Here is a 23,697-nt window from a genome sequence, read left to right as displayed (position 1 = left end):
GATCCAATTTTCTATACTGTTACTCAGGATTTTTACTTGGGATACTGGCCTGCCTCTTGAGCCAAACATACATATTCAGAAAATGAAGGTGGTAGATTGCCTGAATGTTCCTATTTTGTACCTCAAGAATGCTGTAGCCGGGTGTGGTGGTGCATGCCTGTAGTCCCAGCTACTCAGGAGGCTGAGGCGGGAGGATCACTTGGAGGTTGCAGTGAGCCAAGATCACACCACTGCATTCCAGCCTGGGTAACAGAGTGAGACCCTGTCTCAGGAAAAAGATAAGAATGCTGGAAAATCTGACTCAGGAATCAGTCATTTCTACTGCTTGTCACAGCTGATTCCATCTTTGGATGCCTTTGCTATTGGATACTCCCTTACTCTTGGGAGCTACTCTGTGAATTAATCCTAAACTCTTGCTGAGAAGTCAAAGTCCTTGCTGAAACCACAGATCATATGCCTGTGACCTGGCTGTCAGTTATTCTGGGAGCCTGATTCCTGCCTCCACCAAGACTCAAATAGGGGGATTGTTTGCACATTAGCAGAAGGTTTGATATGTACCCAGAACAAAAAGGACTAAAGCGGGAATTTCTCTAAGAAGATTTGGCATTAGAAACTCTTTTAATGTAACTCAAAGCTGAAAGGACAAACATCATATACTCATCTTTTATTCCCAAAAAGAACTTGATAAAACTGTTAGTCATTGATTAAAGGCCAAAACAGAATAAGACCAAAAAAAGCAGAATTGAAGGAACCATCTATTTGATTAAGGATATGCGTTCGGGCCATACACAAGCCATTATACTTAGTGGTGAAATTTTAGAAGCAATCCATTACAGTCAGGATGAAGACAGGGTGCATGTTCTCAAAACTACTAGTTATTCTTTTATTGAGGTCCCAGCCAATGCAGTAAGAAAAGAAGAAATAAATGTGGAGGAGCATTTTGAAAAAGCATTTTGAAAACTGATTATCTGAGAAGACTCCATAGACAAACTAAGAAGAATTTAGCAAGACGGCTGGGAATAAGACCGATAGGGAATATTAGTTGGCTTTCCAATGCATTAGCAATAGACAGTCAGAAAGTATAACAGCAATAAAACTAAAATAGCTAAGAACCAGCCTGTATTATTTTTTATTGTTGCATAACAAATTATCACTAGCACAGTGGTTTAAACATACAGTCATTTATTATTTCACAGTTCTGTAGGCCACAAGTCCAGGATGTCATGGCTGGCTTCCCTGCAGGGCCCCACAAGGATGAAATCAAGGTGTTAGTCAGCTGAGCACTTATCTGAGGATGATGGGGAAGAATCGACTTCCAAACCCTTGTTGGCTGTTGGCAGAATCCCGCTTTTGTGGTTGTAGGACTGAGGTTCCCATCTCTTTGCTGGCTGTTAGCTGGGGGCTCCCCTCAGGTCCTGAAGCTGTTCTCATTCTTCTCAGATAGCCCCCTTCATCTTTCAAGTGAGAGGGAAGGGTGGAACCCTTCTCATGGTTTGAATATAGTTGACTTTCCCCCTGCTTTTCCCTTCTGCTGGAGAAAGTGCTGTGCTTTTTAGAGCCCATTTGATTAGGCCCACTTCAGTGATCTCCCTATCTTAACGTCAACTGTGCCATATAGCATAACACAATTATAGGGGTGGTATTCTCATCATGCAGATTCCAGAGGTCAGGGCAGGACATCTTTGGGGGAGGGAGGGCATTTGGTAAATTTGCTTGCCACAAAGCCTAAATAGAATTTTGTAAGACCCACATCAAAAGTGTAAAATTTCCTCGAAGGATATAAAAGACAACCATATAGAGGTTTCACTTTGTAAATATCTTAGTATCTACACCTCCACCTACCACGTCATCTGGTCTGTCAATTAAATTTAATTCCAGTTAAATCCCCAGCAGAATTGTTTATTCAATTGGGTAGCTGGTTCTTAACGTCCCTGAGTAGAGAAAAATGTTTAAGAAGTAGCAAAGATAGTTTTGAAAAAGAAAGATGGATATCAAACAAATTAAACTACATACATCAAAATCTTGGGGGTATTGGTTCTGGAGTAACCCATGAGATAGAATACTGGGGATTCATTTAATAGATGATAAAGTTGTTTCAAATCAACAGGGAAATGATGGCTTTTTTTGGTAAATGGTGGTGCAGTTGTCTGTCCATTTGGAAGCAAAGTTGGGCCCTTATCCCAAGAACAAAAATAATTTCCAGATGGAATGAAGAGCTAAGTATAAGTAAAATTCTACAAGTATTTAGAAGTACTTAGGAGAATTTGCTCATAAACTTTGGGTTAGGGAATGCCTAACTCAAAGGCTAGGAAATGCAATTGACTAGTAAGCACATGAAAGAGTGCTTGCTTTTATTAATGTCAGGAAAATGTAAATTAAAACATTTCCTTTATTCCCCTCTTTTTTTGCTCAATCAGATTGGAAAAAAGTTTTGCAATCCAAATGTTGGCAAGGGTGCGGGGAAAACATATACTCTCATCAAATGAATTGTAATGGTCTTTTTGGCAGTGCCCACTGTAATTATGAGTATACATATCCTTCAGATGAGTAATTTCACTTCAAGATTTTTACCTCTGAGAAATACATGGGTACATGAGCACAGAGACATTTACAGGCCACTGTGGCATTGTGATTATTGCAGAAAATGTCCAGTAACCTAAAGATTCATCATGGAAGGGCTTTTTGTTTATAAATTATTTAATGGATTTTGAAAAAGGAACCAGTTAAAGTTAGTCAAAGTAATTTAGAGGAAAACAAAATACCTATGGAATTTGTAACAAGAACTTGAAGAAAGTTCTTGGTGTGTACACCCTGGTGTGTACTTTTATAACCTCATATTGCCCATTTTATAATACATTTAATAAAAACATTTCTCTCATGTTAACAATCCATTTTCTAAAAGCAGTGCAGTATTAAGTGCTCACCATATGTGGATAAACGCATCCTGGCAATTTTCTGAGGGAAGATGAAACTGAACAAAAGCCCTCCTTTATTACCATAATGTGAGACTTGTTGTGGGATTTCTTTTATTATCTTATTATACCAGCCAGAGATGGGGCGAGAGAAAGGAAGAGGCTGTATCTATACAAGTGTTTCTTACATGTGTGAATAATTGATTTTTAGTATGTCAGATGATAAGAATCTTAATTTAAAGAATCTGTATATGTAGTAGGTGGGGAGAGAAGAGATTAGCTTTTTAGGTAGTTATCAGTGTTTAAAAAGCAGCCAAAAGAAAAGTTTTGTGTCTGTGCTTATGTGAAAGAGATAAAGTGAAATATCTTCACAGGGGCTTTTCAGAACATTAGCTTTAGCAGCTTTAATCTATGGGTTTATTATTTGAGGATTGAAGATAAAAGCTTTGACTATTGTTAGTTTTATATATCTTCTGTATTCATTGTGAGAGTAATGCTATAGGTGAAAATTGCTTTTTAAAATGAGGGAATGGTGGGATTTTTAAACAAAGTGTTTTTTTGATGCATTTATTAGATGTTCTTCATATAAAAGATTATCTTTATTAAAAGAAGAATTTTGTCCTGAAGATAATTTATAATCCCAGAAGAAAGAAGCTTATATTAATTTAAAACCCACTGCGATTTAAAAAGTATTTTCCAAAGCAATTTCTATAATACATTTTGCTTTAAATCACGTTTTTTTCTTCATAATTGAGGCACAACTTACAGAGAAGAACCATGGTCTGATACAATTGCTGCTATTGTGAGTGAAACTAATAAAAGATGAGAACCATGACTGTGTACTACTTAGGAACAAAAGGGCAGTTAAAAAATATAAAACTGAATTATTTTTGCAGAAGTCAACGAAAGGTTCCGTTGTCCTTGACCACGTATTCCATCACGTAAACCTTGTGGAGATAGATTATTTTGGGCTACGTTACTGTGACAGAAGCCATCAGACGGTGAGTAAGGTGACTTTGTGTTAAATTTTTCTGGTTATAAATTTCACTCTATCTCTGGCTTTTCCTGATATGGTTTTAGGTGGTTAGGTTCTTTGTCACTGAAAAAGACTTTGAAAATCTCAAACATGTTTTCCCCTGATAATTTCTTTGCATTTTTTCCTCTTCTGCCAAAAGTCTGTAGAGTTGCTGGATTCACAGCTTCTGTACATGTGTAGTCGTCTTTGCAGATGGCATATGTGGTTTCCAGATTTGCAACCTTATCATAGTGAATGCAAAGCATGAGTGAACATGGAGGACTGAATATGTCGTTTAATATGTGTTAGAAGGCAAGTGGCTAGTCTCTTGAGGTGAGAGATATTAATTGCCTTTTAAGAAAGGGAATGGTTAGAGAAGAAATAACAGTGTAAAAAAAAAAGTGACTACCTAAGTTTTATAAGTGAGATGAGCTGTTACAAAATAAAATAAGTAGAGGTTTTTTTGTTCATGAACCTGATGAAATAAGAGTAATAAAGGCAACTTAGCTTTTAGTTCTTATGTCAGTTGTTCACAAAGGTTAATTCAGAGGGTCTTCCAGTCCGGAGTAGAGAGTTACTAAGAAATTCACCACAATGGAAAAACTTTGGAGATGAAGATTTTGAAGGACGAAAGGATATTTATTAATGTGACTTTTGGTTTAGTCTAAGAAAGTAAAGATCTTAGCTTCAGATAGGCACAGCCTCATTATGCAGAATGCTCACATGCTTATCTCAGAAATACCCTATTTGACTTGCCTTTTATTTTTCATCCTACTCAACTGCTGTTGAAATAGAGATGTCCTCCTCTTCCTTCATTTGTTCTCCCATCCTCCACTGGGTCATTTGTGGTACATTCAGTGAAGAACATGATTTTCTGAGTGGTGTTTCCACTATTGATGGTGATCACTTGTGACTTTTCTTGAGCTGGTTCCTTAATCTTTTCTGTTTCACAGGAGGATTTCATAAGGTTGGAATGAAAAATTGGGTATGTTGGATAGCTTTGCATAGAAAGGAATAACTTTCTAAAGGCTAGTGGTCATTATGGCATGTTGCAAAAAAGGGGAACAGACATGTTTAGAAGTCCACTGAATTCTATCTTGTACAGACCATGAATAAATATAGCAGTACTGTAAATCTATACAGAAAGATTAAATTGAAGGCTAAAGAAGGTGTCATGTGCTACATTCATATTTTTGAAATAACATTTTTTTCCTAGCAGAGAAAACTACAGTTTTCTGATCTTATCTACTATGTCAGACTTTGCCTGGAAAGATTGACTGTCTTGCTAAAGTTATATAGACCTTGTCGGTCTCTATCTTCCCCCTTACCTTTTTTAAACTTTGCAAAGGAAAAATGTGAAAAGCTAGAGAATTTCAAAACAATGGCCCCTACTGTAGCAGTTAGTGTTGCTAGTTTATTGAAAGTTTTGTAGGGTTTAAATTAAGAACATTTTTTTCCTCTTACTTTTACTCCTAAAGGTTTGGCATTTATCATAGTGTTTATAATACAGGTTTTAGGAGAAATGACACATTTAGGAGAAAGCTCTTAAGTCATATTGTTTTGATGTGATAAGAATATCAGGTGTGCAAATGACATGAAAAAAGTATTCTTTCCCTGTTTTTGTTATATTCTAATGGTAAACTCAGCTAAAATAGAGATGATTTGTAAACATTGCTTAGTCTTTGCATGTTCACATGTATTGTCTGATTATCTTTTAATTGTAGGAGGCTCTGAGAATAATGTAATGAAATTTTGTACTTCATCTTGGTAACAGTTTTATCAAAAGTATATTAGAAGCAATCCTGCATATCTGACAGTTACTTAAAACAAATAAGGATTTAAAAAAAACCCTGTGTGAAAATAGTACAGGGTATGGTTAAAAAATCATTGTCTTAAAAACCAAATATGGTTTCCCATTTAGAAGCATTTGTCTTAAAAACCAAATGGTTTTCATGAATGTTGATTGAATTACTGTACATTCGGGACCTCACATAGCAGAGAAGTTGTCTGCACTGGAGGACCAGGAGAACCTAGAACCCCGGAACTCATCATTCTCCATTATTACCACCATCATCATCAGTGCACCACCGACTGTAAATATTTTTGTTTGTTGAAATTGTATGCTCAGAAAAGTTCTCTAAAGTATTATTATCTTTCTGTTGGAGATGATGAAACGCAAACTAAGAAGGTTAAGCATCTTTCCCAAGTTCGCATAATCAGCACGTATTAGGACCAGAATTCCACCCCAAGTCTGAGTGTCTCCAAGACCTTTCAAACACTGTAATATCCTGACTTTCAAGATAATTGAAATTGCAGCAGCGCAGTCTTCCCTTTAAGGAACTGGTGTTTTTGAAATTAATTAGAGGCTGGAAGGAACTTGAGCCATCTTCTAGGCTTTCAGAAGTTACTATAAATGGATTGTGATCTGGTGGAATGGATAGCTGCCTTGGGAGTCACAAGATAGGTTTGAGTCCTGTGTCTGCTCCTAAAAAATGGTGAAATCACTTAATTTTTCTGAATCTTGATATGCTTATCGTAAATTGACAATAAAATGCTTTTTCTCCTCAACTGTCAGGATTGATATAGGACTAAATCAGAACACATGATAGCTCTTTGTAGATGATAAGGCATTGAACATGTAAAAGGCCTTTCCTGTTGAAACTAGGATGGGAGAAAATATTGCTGGTGATATCAGCGGAATGAAGGAAGAAGGAAAAAGTCTGGAAGAAAGAAAAGAAAAAATTAAATAAACTGTAGATTCTTAAATACCTTTGAGATTTTTGAAGATGAGTTTTGTTGATACTGAAAGCAGTAATAAATATAAATGTGATATCTCAATACTACTTCTGGTTTTAAGATTAGTTTTGAAAGGGAAAGCGCTTAGCCTGGGCTAGAGCCTATTTTCTGTTCCACTCTGGCTTGTGCCAGTCAGGTTCGTTCTTGATCCAGACTGGTGTGTTTGGGGATGTAGGTCTCTCATATTAGGGCCTTGGTTTGACTTACAGAAAATTCCCAGAAATTATAGTTATGTCTTACTTTAATGTTAGCACCTGAGGCTCCTTTACAGATTACTCCTTGAAAGGCAGAAGTTGTATATAATTAGGGCTTTTCTCAGAATATGGAAATCAACGTGGCATTGAGAATTAGGTCCTGGGTCTGCTGCCCTTTTACTTCAGAAGTCAAAGGAGGGGGAATGTGTGAAGCACACAGATGAAGACAGCATGCAAACACTGTCTTCTGCCAGTGAACTCTGTTTTTCCCTTGCTAAGACAATAAAAGCAATCAGAAACTTCCCACTTTCTTGACCACCCCACCCCCAAACACACTTAGTTGCTTCATACCCTTCCTTTCCTGTCACCAGTGTCTGTGAGCTGGATCTTACCACCTTGCTTTTTCTGTTTTGTGTCTCTGTACCCTACCTGCTCCCTCTTTCCAGTCAGTGTTTGGGTGTGTTCAAGTCTTTCCCATTTAGAACCTCCCGTTCCCCTCCTCCTTTGCCCTCCCTTATCTGCTGCTGTCTTTGGCTCCTTCTGCATCACGCGTAAACTTCAGAAAACCTTGTCTAAGTTTCTTACATTCACTTCTGAAATCCCATTGTTTCCTAAACATATCACCATGCAGCTTTTTTCCCGATCACATCACTGAAACTGGCCCTGCCTTGCCAGTTGCTAAATCCAAGAGACTCTGTCAGTCCTTGTCTTACTTGACCTTTCTTTTGCTTTGACACTAACAACTTGCCCATTCTTGAAATCTTCTCATTTTGTTCTTCTGGCACTATATTCTTTTTGTTTCTCTCTCTTCATGTTTTCTCTAGTTATTCCTGTTCAGTCTTCTCTACGATTGTGATTCCACTGCCTGTTCCATAAAATGTTGGTGTTCACCAGGATTTTGTCCTTAGTTCTCTTAGGCTCTAACTCTGTTCAGGCCCACACATTTAGTGCTACCTTTGCTAGTACTGTTTACCTCTGAGATAATTTCCTTAACCATCTAAACTAAGCTGTGTATGTGTTAATATTTGTATTCTCTTCCCTGCCCCCGAGTACTCTGAGTATTGAACAAAAATCCTCATCCATTGAGCTCTAGCAGGCATGCTTAAGTGTGTCCTCTCTGCCGTCAGTAGTGGCCCCTCTTCCTTTCATCCTGATGCTGTATTTTGTAACGTGTAAAGTTTCACATTCTGTGATTATATGTTCTGGAAAGTACCTATAATGACTGATAAAATATGTATAAGTGATAATGTGAGTCCTGTTGCAAAGAAAGGAAGATTGTCATGCTGGATTATTACAGAATGAAACTTACTATGTGAGATGTCTTCAAGCAACTGTTGGAGGAACAGAGGGGAAAGATCAAGAAGCAGAAAGTTCCTCTTAGGTAACCCTTTGACTTTATGAAGAGCATCATGAGAAGCACAGTATCCTGGGAGGGCTGACAACAACACATGAAGGGTATCTGGGAAACAATGATGGCAGGTGGCTTTTCAAGAGTCCACGGCCTGGAAGCCGGAAGCATCTATAGGGGGCCCCATAGCACCGAAGGTCTAAGTTTCCTGCTGACGAATGTGTGTTACTTTTCCTTGGTAACTGTTCCATGGTTTAAATTATATTGAAAGACTGAGCCTCAGATTCCTATCTTCAACCCAGATGTTTCAGGAGGGACTACACTGTGTTAAAATTCAAAATCTGGATTCAGACTGTATGGGTTCAAACCACAGTCTACCTGGAGAGCTGTGTGGCATTGAGTGAGTCTCCCTAACTTTTCTATACTTCAGTTCCTCTGTTTATAAAGTGAAGATAGTAATAGTACCAGCTTCATAGGGTGGTAGTGATGATTGAAGGAATCTATAAAAAATACACAGACTAGTGCTTTAACATGTGTGGTCCACATAATGTTTTAGCTGTTGTTCACTACTCGGATGCCTCTCATGTATCTCAAAGGTAACATATTCAAAACTGAAGCCATCTTCCCCTCCAAATCTGCTCTTTTTAAAAAATGTTTCTGAGATCAGTGATTTTCAAGATTTTTTTTTCTTTTAGAGATGAGGTCACACTATGTTGCTTAGGCTGGTTTCAAACTCCTGAGCTCTAGTGATCCTCCTGCCTCAGCCTCCCAAAGTGCTAGGATTATAGGTGTGAGCCACCATACCTGGTCTATGAATTTTTTTAAAAAACCATGTACTCGTGTGTAATTTTAGGTTGAGAATTGAAATTTTGTAAGTTTTAGTAGATCCAGATCTTTGGTTTATCATAAATACTGACATTGTAAAATCAAATTGTCATATTCCTTTTAAATGTATCCTATGAATTTATATTTCATAGCAATTTTGTACTCTTCATCTACCTTTATAAAAATTTATGAACAAGCTCTTTTTTAAAAATCAGAAACATTTATTTATTCCTTTTATGTCGTTAAACTTGTATTCCTATTCTACTTTCTCCCTAAAATGTTATTATATTTTTATTAATAAAAAACATATATCCATAATATACATATAAATTGGAATTTTAAAAGTTTATTTCCTAAGATGTTAAGGCTCTAATTGTTGTTGAGCCCTAAAAGTAGTTGTTATTACCATGGTTGTCACTATACAATTAATTAAAACAGCAAAATACTATGCATTTTAATAATTATTAAACATATTTTCTATGGAAATTGACAGACAGGGGGCAGGACTAGATTGCAGTTCCCACTCGGACGGATCGTGCAGTGTGTAGAGACTTGCATTGTGAAATTTTGCTCCAGAACTACTGCAGAAATATACCAAGAAAGCTGAGAGAATCCACAGACCCTTTGAAGGAAGCAGATTGCTCCTGCAGGAACCCAGAGACACTGCAAATACTGTGCTGGTATCCATGGCTGAGAGACATGAAGATGGTTCACATCACAGGACTCTGTGCAGACAACCCCTAGTACCAGCCTGGAGTCTGGTAGCCCTGCTGGGTGGCTAGATCCAGAAGGAAATAACAGTCACTGCATCTCAGCTCTCAGGAAGCCACATTCCTAGGAAAAGGGGGAGAGTGCTACATCACGGGAACACCCCATGGGACAAAAGAATCTGAACAGCAGCCTTAAGTTCCAGATCTTCCATCTAACATAGTTTACTCAAAGGAGAAGGAACCAGAAAAACAATTCTGGTAATATGATAAAAGAATGTTCTTCAACACCACCCAAAAAATCATACTCTCTCATCAGCAGTGGATCTAAACCGAGAAAAAGTCCCTGATTGACCTGAAAAAGCATTTAGAAGATTGATTATTAAACCAATTAAGGAGGCACCAGAGAAAGGTGAAGTCCAATTTAAGGAAATCAAAAAAAATGATACAAGGAACGAGGGGAGGAATCTTCAGTGAAATAGATAGCATAAATAAAAAACAATCACAACTTCAGAAAATAAAGGACACACTTAGAGAAATGCAAAATGTTCTTGAAATTCTCAGCAGTAAGACTCGAACAAGCAGAATAAAGAACTTCAGATCTCGAAGATAAGGTTATCAAATTAACCCAGTCCAACAAAGACTAAGAAAAAAGCATTAAAAAAATGAACAAAACCTCCAAGAAATGTGAGATTACATTAAGTGACCAAATCTAAGAATAATTGGCATTCCTGAGGAGGAAGAGGAATCTAAAAGTTTGGAAAACATATTTGGGGGAATAATCTAGTACAGCTTCCCCAGCCTTGCTAAAGACCTAAACATCCAAATAGAAGGAGCTCAAAGAACACCTGGCAAATTGCAAAAAGATCATTACCTAGGCACATTGTCATCAGGTTAGCTAAAGTTAAGATGAGGGAAAGAATCTTAGTAGCTGTGAGGCAAAAGCATTAGGTAATCTATAAAGGAAAACCTATCAGATTAACAGCAGATTTCTCAGCAGAAACCCTACAAGGTAGAAGGGATTGGGTCCCTATCTGCAGCCTCCTTAAACAAAACAATTATCAGCCAAGAATTTTGTCTCCAGCAAAACTAAGCTTCATAAATGAAGAAAAGATAGTCTTTTTCAGGTAAACAAATGCTGAGAGAATTTGCCAGTCCTAAGACAGCACTATAAGAACTGCTAAAAGGAGCTCCAAATCTTGAAACAAATCCTGAAAACACATCAGTAACAGAACTTCCTTAAAGCATAAGTCTCACAGGACCTATAAAACAAAAATATAATTAAGAAAAAACAAGGTATACAGGCAACAAATAGCACAATGAATGGAATAGTACCTCATATCTAAATACTAATGTTGAATGTAAATAGCCTAAATGCTCCACTTAAAAGATACAGAATTGCAGAATGGATAAGAATTCACCAACCAGGTATCTGCTGCCTTCAAGAGACTCACCTAACATATAAGGACTCACATAAACTTGAGATAAAGGGATGGAAAAAGATATTCCATGCAAATAGACACCAAAAACAAGCAGGCATATGTCAGTCAAAACAAACTTTAAGAGTAGTTAAAAAAGACAAAGTAGGACATTATATAATGATAAAAGCCCTTGTGCAACAGGAAAATATCACAGTCCCAAATATATATGCACTTAACACGGGAGTTCCCAAATTTGTAAAACAATTACTACTAGACTTAAGTAATGAGATAGAGAGCAACACAGTAATAGTGGGGGACTTCAATACTGCACTGACAGCACTAGACAGGTCATCAAGATAGGAAGTCAGCAAAGAAACAATGGATTTAAGCTATACTCCAGAACAAATGGACTTAACAGATATTTACATAATATTCCTTAATAGAGATGGGGTTTCACCATGTTGGCCAGGCTGGTCTCAAACTCCTGAACTCAGGTGATCTACCTGCCTTGGTGCTGGGATTACAGGCGGGAGCCACCACGCCTGGCCATTTACAGAACATTCTACCCAACAACTTCAGAATATACATTTTATTCATCAGTGCATGGAACTTTCTCCAAAATAGACCATATGATAGGCCACAAAACAAGTCTGAATAAATTTAAGAAAACTGAAATTATATCAAGTACTCTCTCAGACCATAGTGGAAAAAATTCTTCAAACTGAATGATAATAGTGACACAACTATCAAAACCTCTAGGATACAGCAAAGGCAGTGCTAAGAGGAAAGTTCATAGCCTTAAATGCCTGTATCAAAAAGTCTGAAAGAGCACAACTAGACAATCTATGGTCACACCTCAAGGTACTAGAGAAACAAGAACAAACCAAACCAAACCCAACAGAATGAAGGAAATAACCAAGGTCAGAGCAGAACTAAATGAAATTGAAACAAAAAGAAATGCAAAAGATAAATGAAACAAACAGCTGGTTCTTTGAAAAGATAAATAAAATTGATAGACCATTAGCAAGATTAACCAAGAAAAGAAGAGGGAAGATCCAAATAAGCTCAATTAGAAATGAAATGGGGGATATTACAACTGACACCACAGAAATACAAAAGATCATTCAAGGCTACTATGAACACATTTACGTGCATAAACTAGAAAACATGGAGGATATGGATAAATTCCTGGAAAGAGACAACCCTCCTAGCTTAAATCAGAAAGAATTAGAAACCCTGAACAGACCATTAACAAGCAGTGAGATTGAAATGGTAATAAAAAAATTACCAACAAGAAAAAGTCCAGGACCAGATGGATTCAAGTTGAATTCTGCCAGACATTCAAAGAAGAATTAATACCAATCATATTGACATTATTCTTCAAGATAAAGAGGAAATCCTCCCTAAATCATTCTGTGAAGTCAGTATAACAAAGAAAACTACAGACCAATACCCCTGATGAACATAGATGCAAAAATATTTAACAAAATACTCGCTAACCAAATCCAACAGCATATACAAAAGATAATCCGCCATAATCAAGTGTGTTTCATACCAGGAATGCAGGGATGGTTTAACATACACAAGTCAATACATGTGAAACATCACATAAACAGAATTAAAAACAAAAATCACATGATCATCTCAGTAGATGCAGAAAGAGCATTTGACAAAATTCTGCATCCCTTTATGATTAAAACCCTCAGCAAAATTGGCATACGAGGGACATACCTCAATGTAATAAAAGCCATCTATGACAAACCCACAGCCAACATAATATGAACGGGGAAAAGTTGAAAGCAAATGGAAACACATTTCATGTTCGTGGATGGGTAGAATCAATAATGTGAAAATGACCATACTGCCAGAAGCAATCTATAAATTCATTACAATTTCCATCAAAATACCACCATCATTCTTCACAGAACTAGAAAAAACAATCCTACAGTTCATATGGAACCAAAAAAGAGCCTGCGTAGCCAAAGTGAGACTAAGCAAAAAGAACATAGCTGGAGGCATCATATTACCTGATTTCAAACTATACTATAAGGCCATAGTCACCAAAACAGCATGGTATTGGTATAAAAATAGGGACATAGACCAATGGAATAGAATAGAGAGCCCAGAAATTAACCCAAATACTTATAGCCAACTGACCATCGACAAAGCAAACAAAAACAAAGTGGGGAAATGGTGCTGGGATAATTGGCAAGTCACATGATGGAAAATGAAACTGGATCCTTATCTCTTGCCTTATGCAAAAATCAACTCAAGATGGATCAAGGACTTAGATTTAAGTCCTAAATCATTAAGACTTAAAACTATAAAAATTCTAGAAGATAACATTGGAAAAACCCTTCTAGACATTGGCTTAGGCAAAGATTTCATGACCAAGAACCCAAAAGCAAATGCAACAAAAATGAAGATAAATAGGTGAGACTTAATTAAACTAAAGAGCTTTTGCATAGCAAAAGGAACAGTCAGCAGAGTAAACAGACAGCCCACAGAGTGGGAGAAGATCTTCACAATCTATATATCTGACAAGGGACTAATATCCAGAATCTACAAGGAACTCAAACAAATAAGAAAGAAGCAATCCCATCAAAAAGTAGACTAAGGACATGAGTGGACAATTCTCGAAAGAAGATATACAAATGGTAACAAATACATGAAAAAACTCTCAACATCACTAATGATCAGGGAAATGCACATCAAAACCACAATGCAATACCACCTTACCCCTGCAAGAATGGCCATTATCAAAAAAATAAAAAAATAATAGATTTTGGCATGGATATGATGAAAAGGGAACACTTCTGCACTGCTGGTGGGAATGTAAACTAGTACAGCCACTATGGAAAACAGTGTGGAGATTCCTTAAGGAACTCAAAGTATAACTCCCATTTGATCCAGCAATCCCACTACTGGGTATCCACCCAGAGGAAAAGAAGTCATACGAAAAAGATACTTGCACACCCATGTTTATAGCAGCACAGTTCACAATTGCAAAAATGTGGAACCAACCCAAATGCCCATCAGTCAACGAGTGGATAAACTGTGGTGTGTGTGTGTGTGTGTGTGTGTGTGTGTATGTATGTATATATGTATGTGATGGAATACTACTCAGCCATAAAATGGAATGAATTAATGGCATTCACAGCAACCTTGATGATATTGGAGACTATTATTCTAAGTGAAGTAACTCAGGAATGGAAAAACAAATATTGTATGTTCTCACTCGTAAGTGGGGGCTAAGCTATGAGGATGCAAAGGCATAAGAATGATACAATGGACTTTGGAGACTCGGGAGGGAAGGGGTAGGAAGGGGGTGAGGGATAAAAGACTACAAATTGGCTTCAGTGTATACTGCTTGGGTGATGGTTGCACCAAAATCTCACAAATCACCATTAAAGAACTTATTCATGTAACTCAATACCTAACCTGTTCCCTAAAAACCTATGGAAAAAAATTATTAAACATAAAATATAAGTATTTATTGGAAGCGCATCTTTTAATGAGGTGAGTGGGACTTTTTCTTTCCAATTAGTCCATTATAATATATTCCTGGAATGATTCCAACTCTACCTTTTTCTTATATATCTGAGAGCAGTGTTTTTTCAGACCATTCAGTTGGGTTTTTCTTTAGTTGAAAGCAATGAATTCAAGACCACCTGTCTTAAAATTTCTTAATTGATTATTATAGTAATTCAACTCCACAATTTCTAGGAAATGTATTAAAAATGCTTTGTCAACACTTACCAAAATGTTATTAATTATGCTTTTTTTTATTTAGAGGCACCTGATTTAATGCAATATTAAATAAAAAATAGAAGGGATTTAGAAAAATTTTAAAATCATTAATTTTAACATAAGTTTGCCAATGTAAGATTTTTAATAAAGTGCTTTTATCTAATTATATACTTTATATTTTCATCAGAATCTTAGAATTGCAGATTTAGTTCATTTGGCTTATGGAAAGTCTCCAACATAAAACTCTTGGACAAAGCCAGTCATTATTAAGCCACTTAGCCAAACCAACTTGCTTTCTGTCATTTTGTCAATTTAAATAAAAATGTTAACTTGAGTTCCATGAAAAGTATTTCATTTTGGAATTCTATTCCTAAGACAGATAAGGCAAAGCATTTTGTTGCCTAGATAAGATAGGTCTGCTTTCACTTACCAAGACTTTGATTTGTCTTATTCTTAAGGAACTGACAGTAGCTAGAGTATGGAAATTGCAAGATCATTAAACAAAAATCATCACTCCTGGTGCTGCCCTATGGTACAATGTATCTGATTTTAGAACCACCCAAGTATAGGCCAAAATATCATGCTTCTAACACTTTGCATAGTCCTTGCCAGAAATATGTATAAAATGGAAAAATACATAACACTATGTTTTTCTGATTTATAGTGTCTTTATTAAAGACAACTTTGTTAACATCAGTATTTTAAAGTCTTCCTATGCTTCTCCTGTGATTATTCGTGCCCTTGGGCAATGCACTATAGCAGCTTGACAGGGCTGAAAGGTGCCTTTCAGTAAATTGGGAATGGAGAATTTTGAAAGGAGAGTGCAGTAGGAAAGGAGAATTAGCATAATGTCCTAATCTTGGGCTTATTCTTTGGTAGATCAGTTTTGGAATAGAGTGTATATGGAAGGTGAGAATCTGGGAATTGAGTTCTTAAAACTATGTTTACCCATGTATCCTTTGGGAAGTCCTCACATAGCATCCCCGAGGTGCCTGCACCTTTGTTACAATAGCTTAGTGAATGGCAACACCATCTACCCAATTGCTCAAGCTAGAATCTTGGGTGTCATTCCCAACTACATCATCTCACCTCTCCTCATAGCCAGTCACCAAGTCCTGGCAGCTTTACTCCTTAATTCCTAGATTGACCATACAGTTCACTCACTAATCCAGGATACTTTTGAGAGTGAAAAGGGACACTGTTAATAACTAAGCTGGGACCACTGGTGTAAACAGGACTTGTGGTCATCTATTCACCTCTCTAGAATCAGTCTCCATCTCTGAATTTTAGTTTCAGTGCCAGATGAGCTTGGGTTTCTATAAAAGCTTTTTTGACTGGCTGTCCTGTCTTTGGTCTTACTCCCTCCAGTGTTTTCCCCACTGCAATTGCAGTTTTCTTTCAGAAAGGCGACTTTGATGGTGTCTCCTTCTGTGGCTTAAAATTATTTAATGGCTCCCTAAGGGAAAATCCAAACTCCTAAACATGGTTTACAAAGTCCTTTAAGATACGTGGCCCTTGGTTATCTTGAGCTCCTTTTCTTGCAACATGACTTTTCAGTTCCCCACCCAAATGCGTACTTCAGGTACGCCGTAGCTCCACTGAACTACCTGCAGCTCCTTAGCTGTACCATAGTGTCTCGGGGGGTTGTATGTGCTGCCTCCCCTGCCTGAACACCCTTCTTGTTCTCTTCCCTTCCATCATTTTTCCTTGTTTAAATCTTGTTTATCATTACCATCCACAGAGTGTGGTGTTTCTGATGTCTCCTGCTTCCTGAAGCTTTCCCCGACCCCCCAGAAATATTTTGGGCCTTCTTGTATCACATATTACAAATACAACATTGTTTGTGTCTATTGAATAATACCATTTGATCGGATACTTTTTGAAGGGAAGCATTGAATCCTATTCACCACTTTCTTACCACCTCTGTCACTGCAAAACAAGTGATCTGTAATGTTACTGAGTGAAAGAACTCTCGCCTGGACTGTGTGGGCCGCTCACTGGGAGGCGAGGGCCTTGACAAGAGCATTCCCACACCTCCCCTTCCCACGCCTGCATGCTCCCTCCTTCTCTTATGAAAGGCCTCTCCTGCTGTTCATTTTAACCAGATTTAACTTACATTTAAAAAAAAAGAAAAAGCTTTACTGAGATATTAGGAAGTTAGATTGAAAATTCTTATTGGGATTATAAGAAACAACAGGTACAGGATATTTTTAATGTGCTGGCAGCTACTAGGTGCTGTTTAGAATATTCTTGTCTGGTTAGAGGTATAGTGGTGTAGTATGTAATAAAAGGAGGCATATTATATGAGGATTTGAGTTCAAACAATGTCATGTGTAACTGTATGATGGTGGATCCCATGATTTTAAAAAATTGTTTATAATAAATAGCACTTCTAAAAGTAGATTTTTCTATTTCTTCTTGGTTAAACAGTGTTTAATAGGAAAGGAAGAGATGATGTTCTTCTGGAACATTTTCTGTTTAGAGTGGGTGTGCCCTCTTCTGAGCACAGTCATGTGAAACACCATGAGAATTCAGCAGCTGACATGCCTGAAATAACCCCGGGAAGTGCTGAGAGGGGAGCCTCCCAAACGGCTCCCCCAAAGTCGCTTCTTGCACTGCATGCTTTCCTCACTGCGGCATCGGGAAAAGCAGAGCATGCTTTGACTGATTGGTCTTCAGTTTGTTGATTTTGACACGGACTCAAAAACGGCTCTTGAAGGACCCAGGTTTGTGTAGGATCACCTCCATGGCACATTTTGAACTTTAGTTCTTTTTTCCTTCTTTCCCTCAAATGGTTGATTGCAGTAGGCATGAATGTTTCTTCCATGGGTCATGTATAATATTTTATCCTGCGGTTTCTAGGTTTAGGGAGGTGAAGGGCTGAATTCTATCTTGGAGAGAAAGTTTTCTTTGTTAATGGCACCCAATGCCTTCTTCACCAAAACTAAATTAAACTAAATTAAAAGGAGGGAGAGGATGAGGAAAAATAACTAATGGGTACCAGGCTTAATGCCTGGGTCACAAAATTAATCAGTGCAGCAGACCCTCATGACACGAGATTACCTGTATAACAAACCTGTACCTGTATCCCTGAATTTAAAAGTTAAAAAAAAAAATGCTTCCATCGAACAACAATTGAAAACAATAAAGGTACAAAGTACTTAATAACAAAACTATCAGGAATGGTAGAAATGTCAACATATACATACATGTATATATATATCCATATATCCATATACATTTATATTTTTGTATATACAACCAGGTACGTAGGTATGCTAGGTGTTCTTATCAATAAATGCAGTACCTGAGAAATTTCTGTGACCCATACCTTCTTAGTTATATACATAAGTGAAAGGAATATTGATTTCTTTACTATGAACATTTATTAAATTAGACTGTCCTTCTCCCCGGTTAAATCAGAATGAGCCATAAAGGAAGGAATTTCAGACAGTTGATTGATTGCCTAATGGGAAAACAGTGATTTTAGAGTTAATGATTTTAGACATTAGAAAACTAGTTTTTTTTTAAATTTAGGGTTTCGACACAAAGCTCTGATAAATTAACCTTGATTTAACCTTATTCTGAATCTTAAGAGAATTTTCTCCTTGAATATAATAAACAGTTTAATCGTGATGTGTCAGTAGCCTACTAATAAAATGTATTTTATGGAATATTTTCTATTCTACTTATATTTTATAAAATTGCAAATTTGCTGCATGTACTAAAAGCTAAGTGACTAGTTTGTCTATCATTTTAGGACCTGTTCCAATAAGAGAGATGTTCTTGGAATTGTTAAAAAGCTGTGCAGGTGCTTTTTTGTTTCATGGGAAAGTGGGAGTTACCTACTTTCCCTTCTGGACTATGAGTTTTGAGAGCTGCTTTATGAATTAACAGAAGTGGGCCTTTAAAAGCTGATGATCTGTAGGAGCTTAGTTTATTCTTTCATGATACCCATCAGTATTGGAGGCCGCAGGATATTTTATAGAGGATATTCAGGAAGTTTCTTGTTTAACATTTTTTAGAGTTATATCCTTACTCATATCAGCACAGCCTGAACTGGGACTGTGAGGAAAGATGAGCATTTGCTGTTGCTCATCTCCATTCAATCACATAGCAGATACTTACCAGGCAGCCACTGTGTCTCAGGAAGTATGGCACAATGGTGAGTAAGAGCCAAGGTCTCTGGTCTCAAGGAGTTTATTTCCAGGGGTGAGACAGACCATAAAAAGATACTCAAATATCAGGTACTGAATGCTTTGAAAATAAGATGATATGCTAGAGTTTTGTGAAGGCTTCTTCCATTGGGTGGTATGTAGAGAAAAAGTCTCTACCCATGTAATTACAGGTGTGAGCCACTGCTCCTGGCCGAGGCCTGTGGAACTTCTGACCAACTGGCTTCAAGTTGGAGTTCCCATGACCTTCTCTTTGGGTTTGATTAATTTGCTAGAGCAGCTTACAAAACTCAGAAACGCAGAATATATAGATGAAGAGATGTGTAAGGTGAGGTATGGGGGAACGGGGCATGGAACTTCTATGCCCTCCTGGGCACGCCACCCTCCAGGAACCTGCATGTGTTCGGCTACCTAGAAGCTCCCTGGACCAAGTCCTCTTGAGTCTTTGTGGAAGTGTCATGATGTCAGCATTCCTTTTCCAGGTGTATAGGGCTAGACTTTCTCTGGGGAGGGTTCCTCATTCCCCCATGATCTGTATGAACACAGGGAAAGGTCTTAAGACCCACAGTCAGAAAGGTGGGAGAAGATTAGAGTCCTGCTAGGGGCAGGTGAAAGGAGGGCAGGAGAGAGACTTTGTGTCCTGAGGCCTAACACTCCCAACATTTCAACAAAAGACTAACAAGGGCTATGGGAGTTATGAACCAGGAACCATGGATGAAAACCAATATATATCATAAACACCACAGGTGGTTAGAAGAGACCTCTTTGGTATTTACACCGAGGCTGGAGTGATAAGGGGAGGAGCATGGCAGGCAGGAGGAACAGCTGGCATGGGGGCCTTAAGGCAGAGACAGATGCGAGGTGTTCTGGAACTGAGAGGAGTCCAGTGATGCTAGAGTTGTAAGAAAGAGGGTGATGAAGTGGAAAGGTGGGCAGGGCCCCCATAACATAGGGCCCAGCAGGCTTTTGTAGGCTCTGTGTACATTTCTGTTGGAAATGTCAAGATGAGGAGTGATAGGGAGCTGGTTTTTCAGTTTGGGAAGTCAGTTCTGATTTGCATATGTTGGGTTTGAAACACCCATTTGACATCCCAGAGACATTAGGGGAGTAGGGGAGTAGGCTGGAGTCACATCTAGGAGTCTCTAGGTTTTTAAAGTCATGAGACCAAATAAGGTCATTTAGGGAGAAACAGACTGTAATTGCAGATGAGAAGGGGCAAGGCTGCAGTGTGCAGCTGTGCTAACCATGTGAATTGTACATGCTGGAGTAGGTGTAACTGTGTGGGTGGTGCTGAGCAGGGCACCTGGACCCTGCTTACTTTGCAGCTCCCTGGGCTGGCTTGCTCCTTTGTGCCAGATTACTTGGTTAGCTAAAACTACATTTATGTTCAGCTTCTAGGACAGAGTTTAAATGAACCCTAACTTAACCACCTGTATATTTTAAATTACTACAGTTTCAAGACATGGCAAATTTAGGATTTTATTTCAAGATGAAATGATCTCATAGTCTGTATACAGTGATGCCTCACTTATCCACATTTTAAAAATGTGTTGCAACTTCACTTACCCAAAATGTAGTCGAAACTTTCCAGAGATCTAAGGTTTCTTAAGCAGCACAGATTGATTATTTTAGAGTCCACTCACGGGATTCAGGACTTTCTCAAGGAATCTGTGATCCCTAAAACCATGTTTATTTTCATTTTAGGAAGAAATCTGAACACATTGGTTATTATGTGCCCTGGTCCTAAGAGATTTGAAACAGCCTATTAGATGCAACTGTAGGGCAGCTCCACTAGAGACAGGCATATGTTGGCAGGAAGGCATGTTTAAAAAATGATTGGTGGGCTCTGAAGACATATAATAGTAGGTCCCTAGAATCCAGTGTATTTTCAGTAACAAAAAAAGCAGCTTTCATCAGACCACTTTATTAATAATAAAACTAGTATGTTTGGAAGTCAAAGATACACAGAAAAGTTTGTATGATGTCTTTGTGGACTAAATGGAAAAATGATGCTAAATTGAAAGATAATTAGTTAGGATGGCTTTTCACAGTCATCTCTGGTTTCTTGAATGATGTGATGGAGGGAGGTTTCTAGGTATGTTCCAGGGCATAGAACATCTATGCCAGTACCTGGGATGAAGACATAAAGGGCATGCACATCACATTCACAGATGGCATAAACACAGGAGGAATAGCAAGTTTGTTGAATACAAGAATGAAGATAAAAGAGGTCTGGATAAATTGGGAAGTGCTCCAGTTACTCTTTGTTGTGTAACTAGCCCTCTCAAAATGTAGGGGCTTTAAATTACAGCCACACACATTTTGCTCGTGGATCTGCGACTTTGGCAGGGCTTGGGAGGGCCCGCTCATGTCTGTTCTACTTAGTGTCTGCTGGAGCAGCATGAAGGCTGGAGGCTGGAGTCATCTGAAGTCTCAGTCATGTGTGTGCTGGTTGATGTTGGCATTGGCTGGGGCTTCAACTGGGGATGGAGCACCTACTTGTGGACTCTCTGTGTTGTTGCTTGGCTTCCTCGCAAGGGAAAACATCCAGAGGGCAAAGGGAGGGAAGGATACCAGAAGGAGCATGGTCACTGTGCATGACCAAGTCTCAGAAGACAGGCAGTTACTTCTGCCACCACACAGTGTTACTTCTGTGGCATTCTATTGGTTCAAAGTAAAGTCCAGGCAATATTCCCCCCAAACCCCCTGCCACTCAAATTCCCTCAAGTTTGCACCTCTCAAAGTTTTTCCTGGATTACCTGAGTAGGCTACTTAGGCTCCTGGATTCCTGGTTTGCTTTACTTTAACCCACTCTCCTTTTACTTGCTGTCAAGGTGATCAGATTAAAATGCAAATATTATGAAGTTGCTCCCCTACTTATAAGATTTCAATGAGTATCCATAGTATTCTGCTTAAATTCAAATTCTATTATGCATACGAGACTCTTTATTATCTGGGCCCTATCTATAATCTGTAGATCCTTCTCTAGCCTTCTCTTCCATCACTACACCATATACTGTTTTTACTCTTGGTCAGGTAACATTTAAAGGGGAGGAATACTACATTATACCTTTTGATAGGAATAGTGTTGACTAATTTAAAGACATGTTTTAATACATGAGATTCCTCTGACCAAAAATTATTTATATTCTTTTTACATATAAAATGCACTTATCCCTCCCAAGGCCTCCCAATATTCTTATTTATTGTGACATGGGACTTGAGCTTAAGATATACCATCTCCAGCTTGCAGTGAGCCGAGATTGCGCCACTGCACTCCAGCCTGGGTGACAGAGCGAGACTCCATCATAAAAAAAAAAAAAAGATATATCATCTCCTCTAATCAGACTCTTCGAACATTTTCCCTGAAGTTTAACCCTTGAGTACAGTTCCTTTTGATCTGAAGATATGTGAATTAAGGTGATAAGATATGTTTCCTGCCTACCCGCCCCAAACATACAGTGGTGGAACATGCATAGGATAACCAGTATAAATGCTTCCAGTTAGAAAGGGGCAAAACAGGAGGCACACAACAATTACTAGTCCATAATACTAGTTTTGAAATCTAGCCAGACACATGTGGTGATTTCTCTGATTAGGACTTGGTCCTATTGCCTAGGAGTTGTTCACTATGACGATTGGCCCTGTCTTCTCGGCTCTTGGTTCTGTTGTCTGGGCTTGCTTGCTTTTTTAATAAAAAGTAGTGTGTATTTGCGGTGGAGTAGTGTTCTCGGCCTGGATTTTGCCTAAGGAAGATTGGGAGTTCAAAGGCCTCTTTTCAGTTTGTAGTATCTCTGTCCCTTTCAGCCCAAGCTGGTATAATTCTTCTAAAAGTTTTTGTGGATTTCTAATGAATCAACCTTTAATTAACTTTATTAGACAAAGGCAGCACCCACAGATTGCTCTGGAATAAGCTCTTCTGTACCTTAGATTCCCTGTAAGGCTGTTGGGACACGGTGCCGTTAAGATTATTAGAGGATCTTGTTTTGAAAGGGTCCATGAGGCATGGTGTTAAATCTTATAAATTGTATTACATCTAATAAAGGATTTTACAGTTATAGCATGTTTACCTGACAGCATGCTGGATTCATTCTTTGCCCAGAAGCCATTTCTTAATTGCAGCATTGTTTGCCTTCTGATAGGACTAGGAATGCGAAAGTTTTATTTTCAAACTCAGTAAAAAGTCCTGGCTCCTTTATATTTTAATAGTTCTTCTTTCTTTTTAGCTTATCTCTCTCTTCTTACATTTCATTTATAGCCAGCAAAATGAAGCCAATCAGCAATTTCAACAGTTTACCTGGAAACCTCCTTATCTGAATCATCCAGTTCGTTTGGTACATTTTTTATTCCACATTTTTTTCTGTTTCCAATAGCTTTCTCTGCTTTAATTGAGGCTCTTAGAGACAGCCTCCCTGCAAGCCCTCAGGCTTCTACCAATACTCTCCTTAAGGTCCTTCTTGCTACTTCATCCCAAAAACACACAGTGGAAAGTAGAGGGAGTGGGGCCAGATCATGGAAGGCCTTATAGGTTATTAGAAGGATTTTGTGTTTTAC

General features: G+C 38.1%; 1 protein-coding gene across 16 annotated transcripts in view; it reads left to right on the top strand.

The window, feature by feature from the left end:
• Nucleotides 1-23,697, top strand: part of EPB41L4A (erythrocyte membrane protein band 4.1 like 4A) — a 278,107-nt gene that overhangs the window by 108,637 nt on the left and 145,773 nt on the right. For 15 of the 16 annotated variants that reach the window (XR_001742173.3, NR_144931.2, XM_011543531.4 and 12 more), the window contains one exon: nucleotides 3,809-3,913. Coding sequence is in view for 12 of the 16 variants with exons in the window: in XM_011543531.4 (XP_011541833.1) it covers nucleotides 3,809-3,913 (105 nt within the window). In the remaining 4 variants the exon portion in view is untranslated. Of the gene's footprint in view, nucleotides 1-3,808; nucleotides 3,914-17,329; nucleotides 17,695-23,697 lie in introns of those variants that run through there. The other variant, XM_047417478.1, reaches the window with a different exon arrangement.

The sequence above is a fragment of the Homo sapiens genome, chromosome 5 (genome assembly GCF_000001405.40).
Source record: "Homo sapiens chromosome 5, GRCh38.p14 Primary Assembly".
In the NCBI taxonomy this organism is placed as follows: domain Eukaryota; kingdom Metazoa; phylum Chordata; class Mammalia; order Primates; family Hominidae; genus Homo; species Homo sapiens.
The sequence above is the reverse complement of the archived record's forward strand: the minus strand, read 5'-3'. Positions and strand labels throughout refer to the sequence as shown.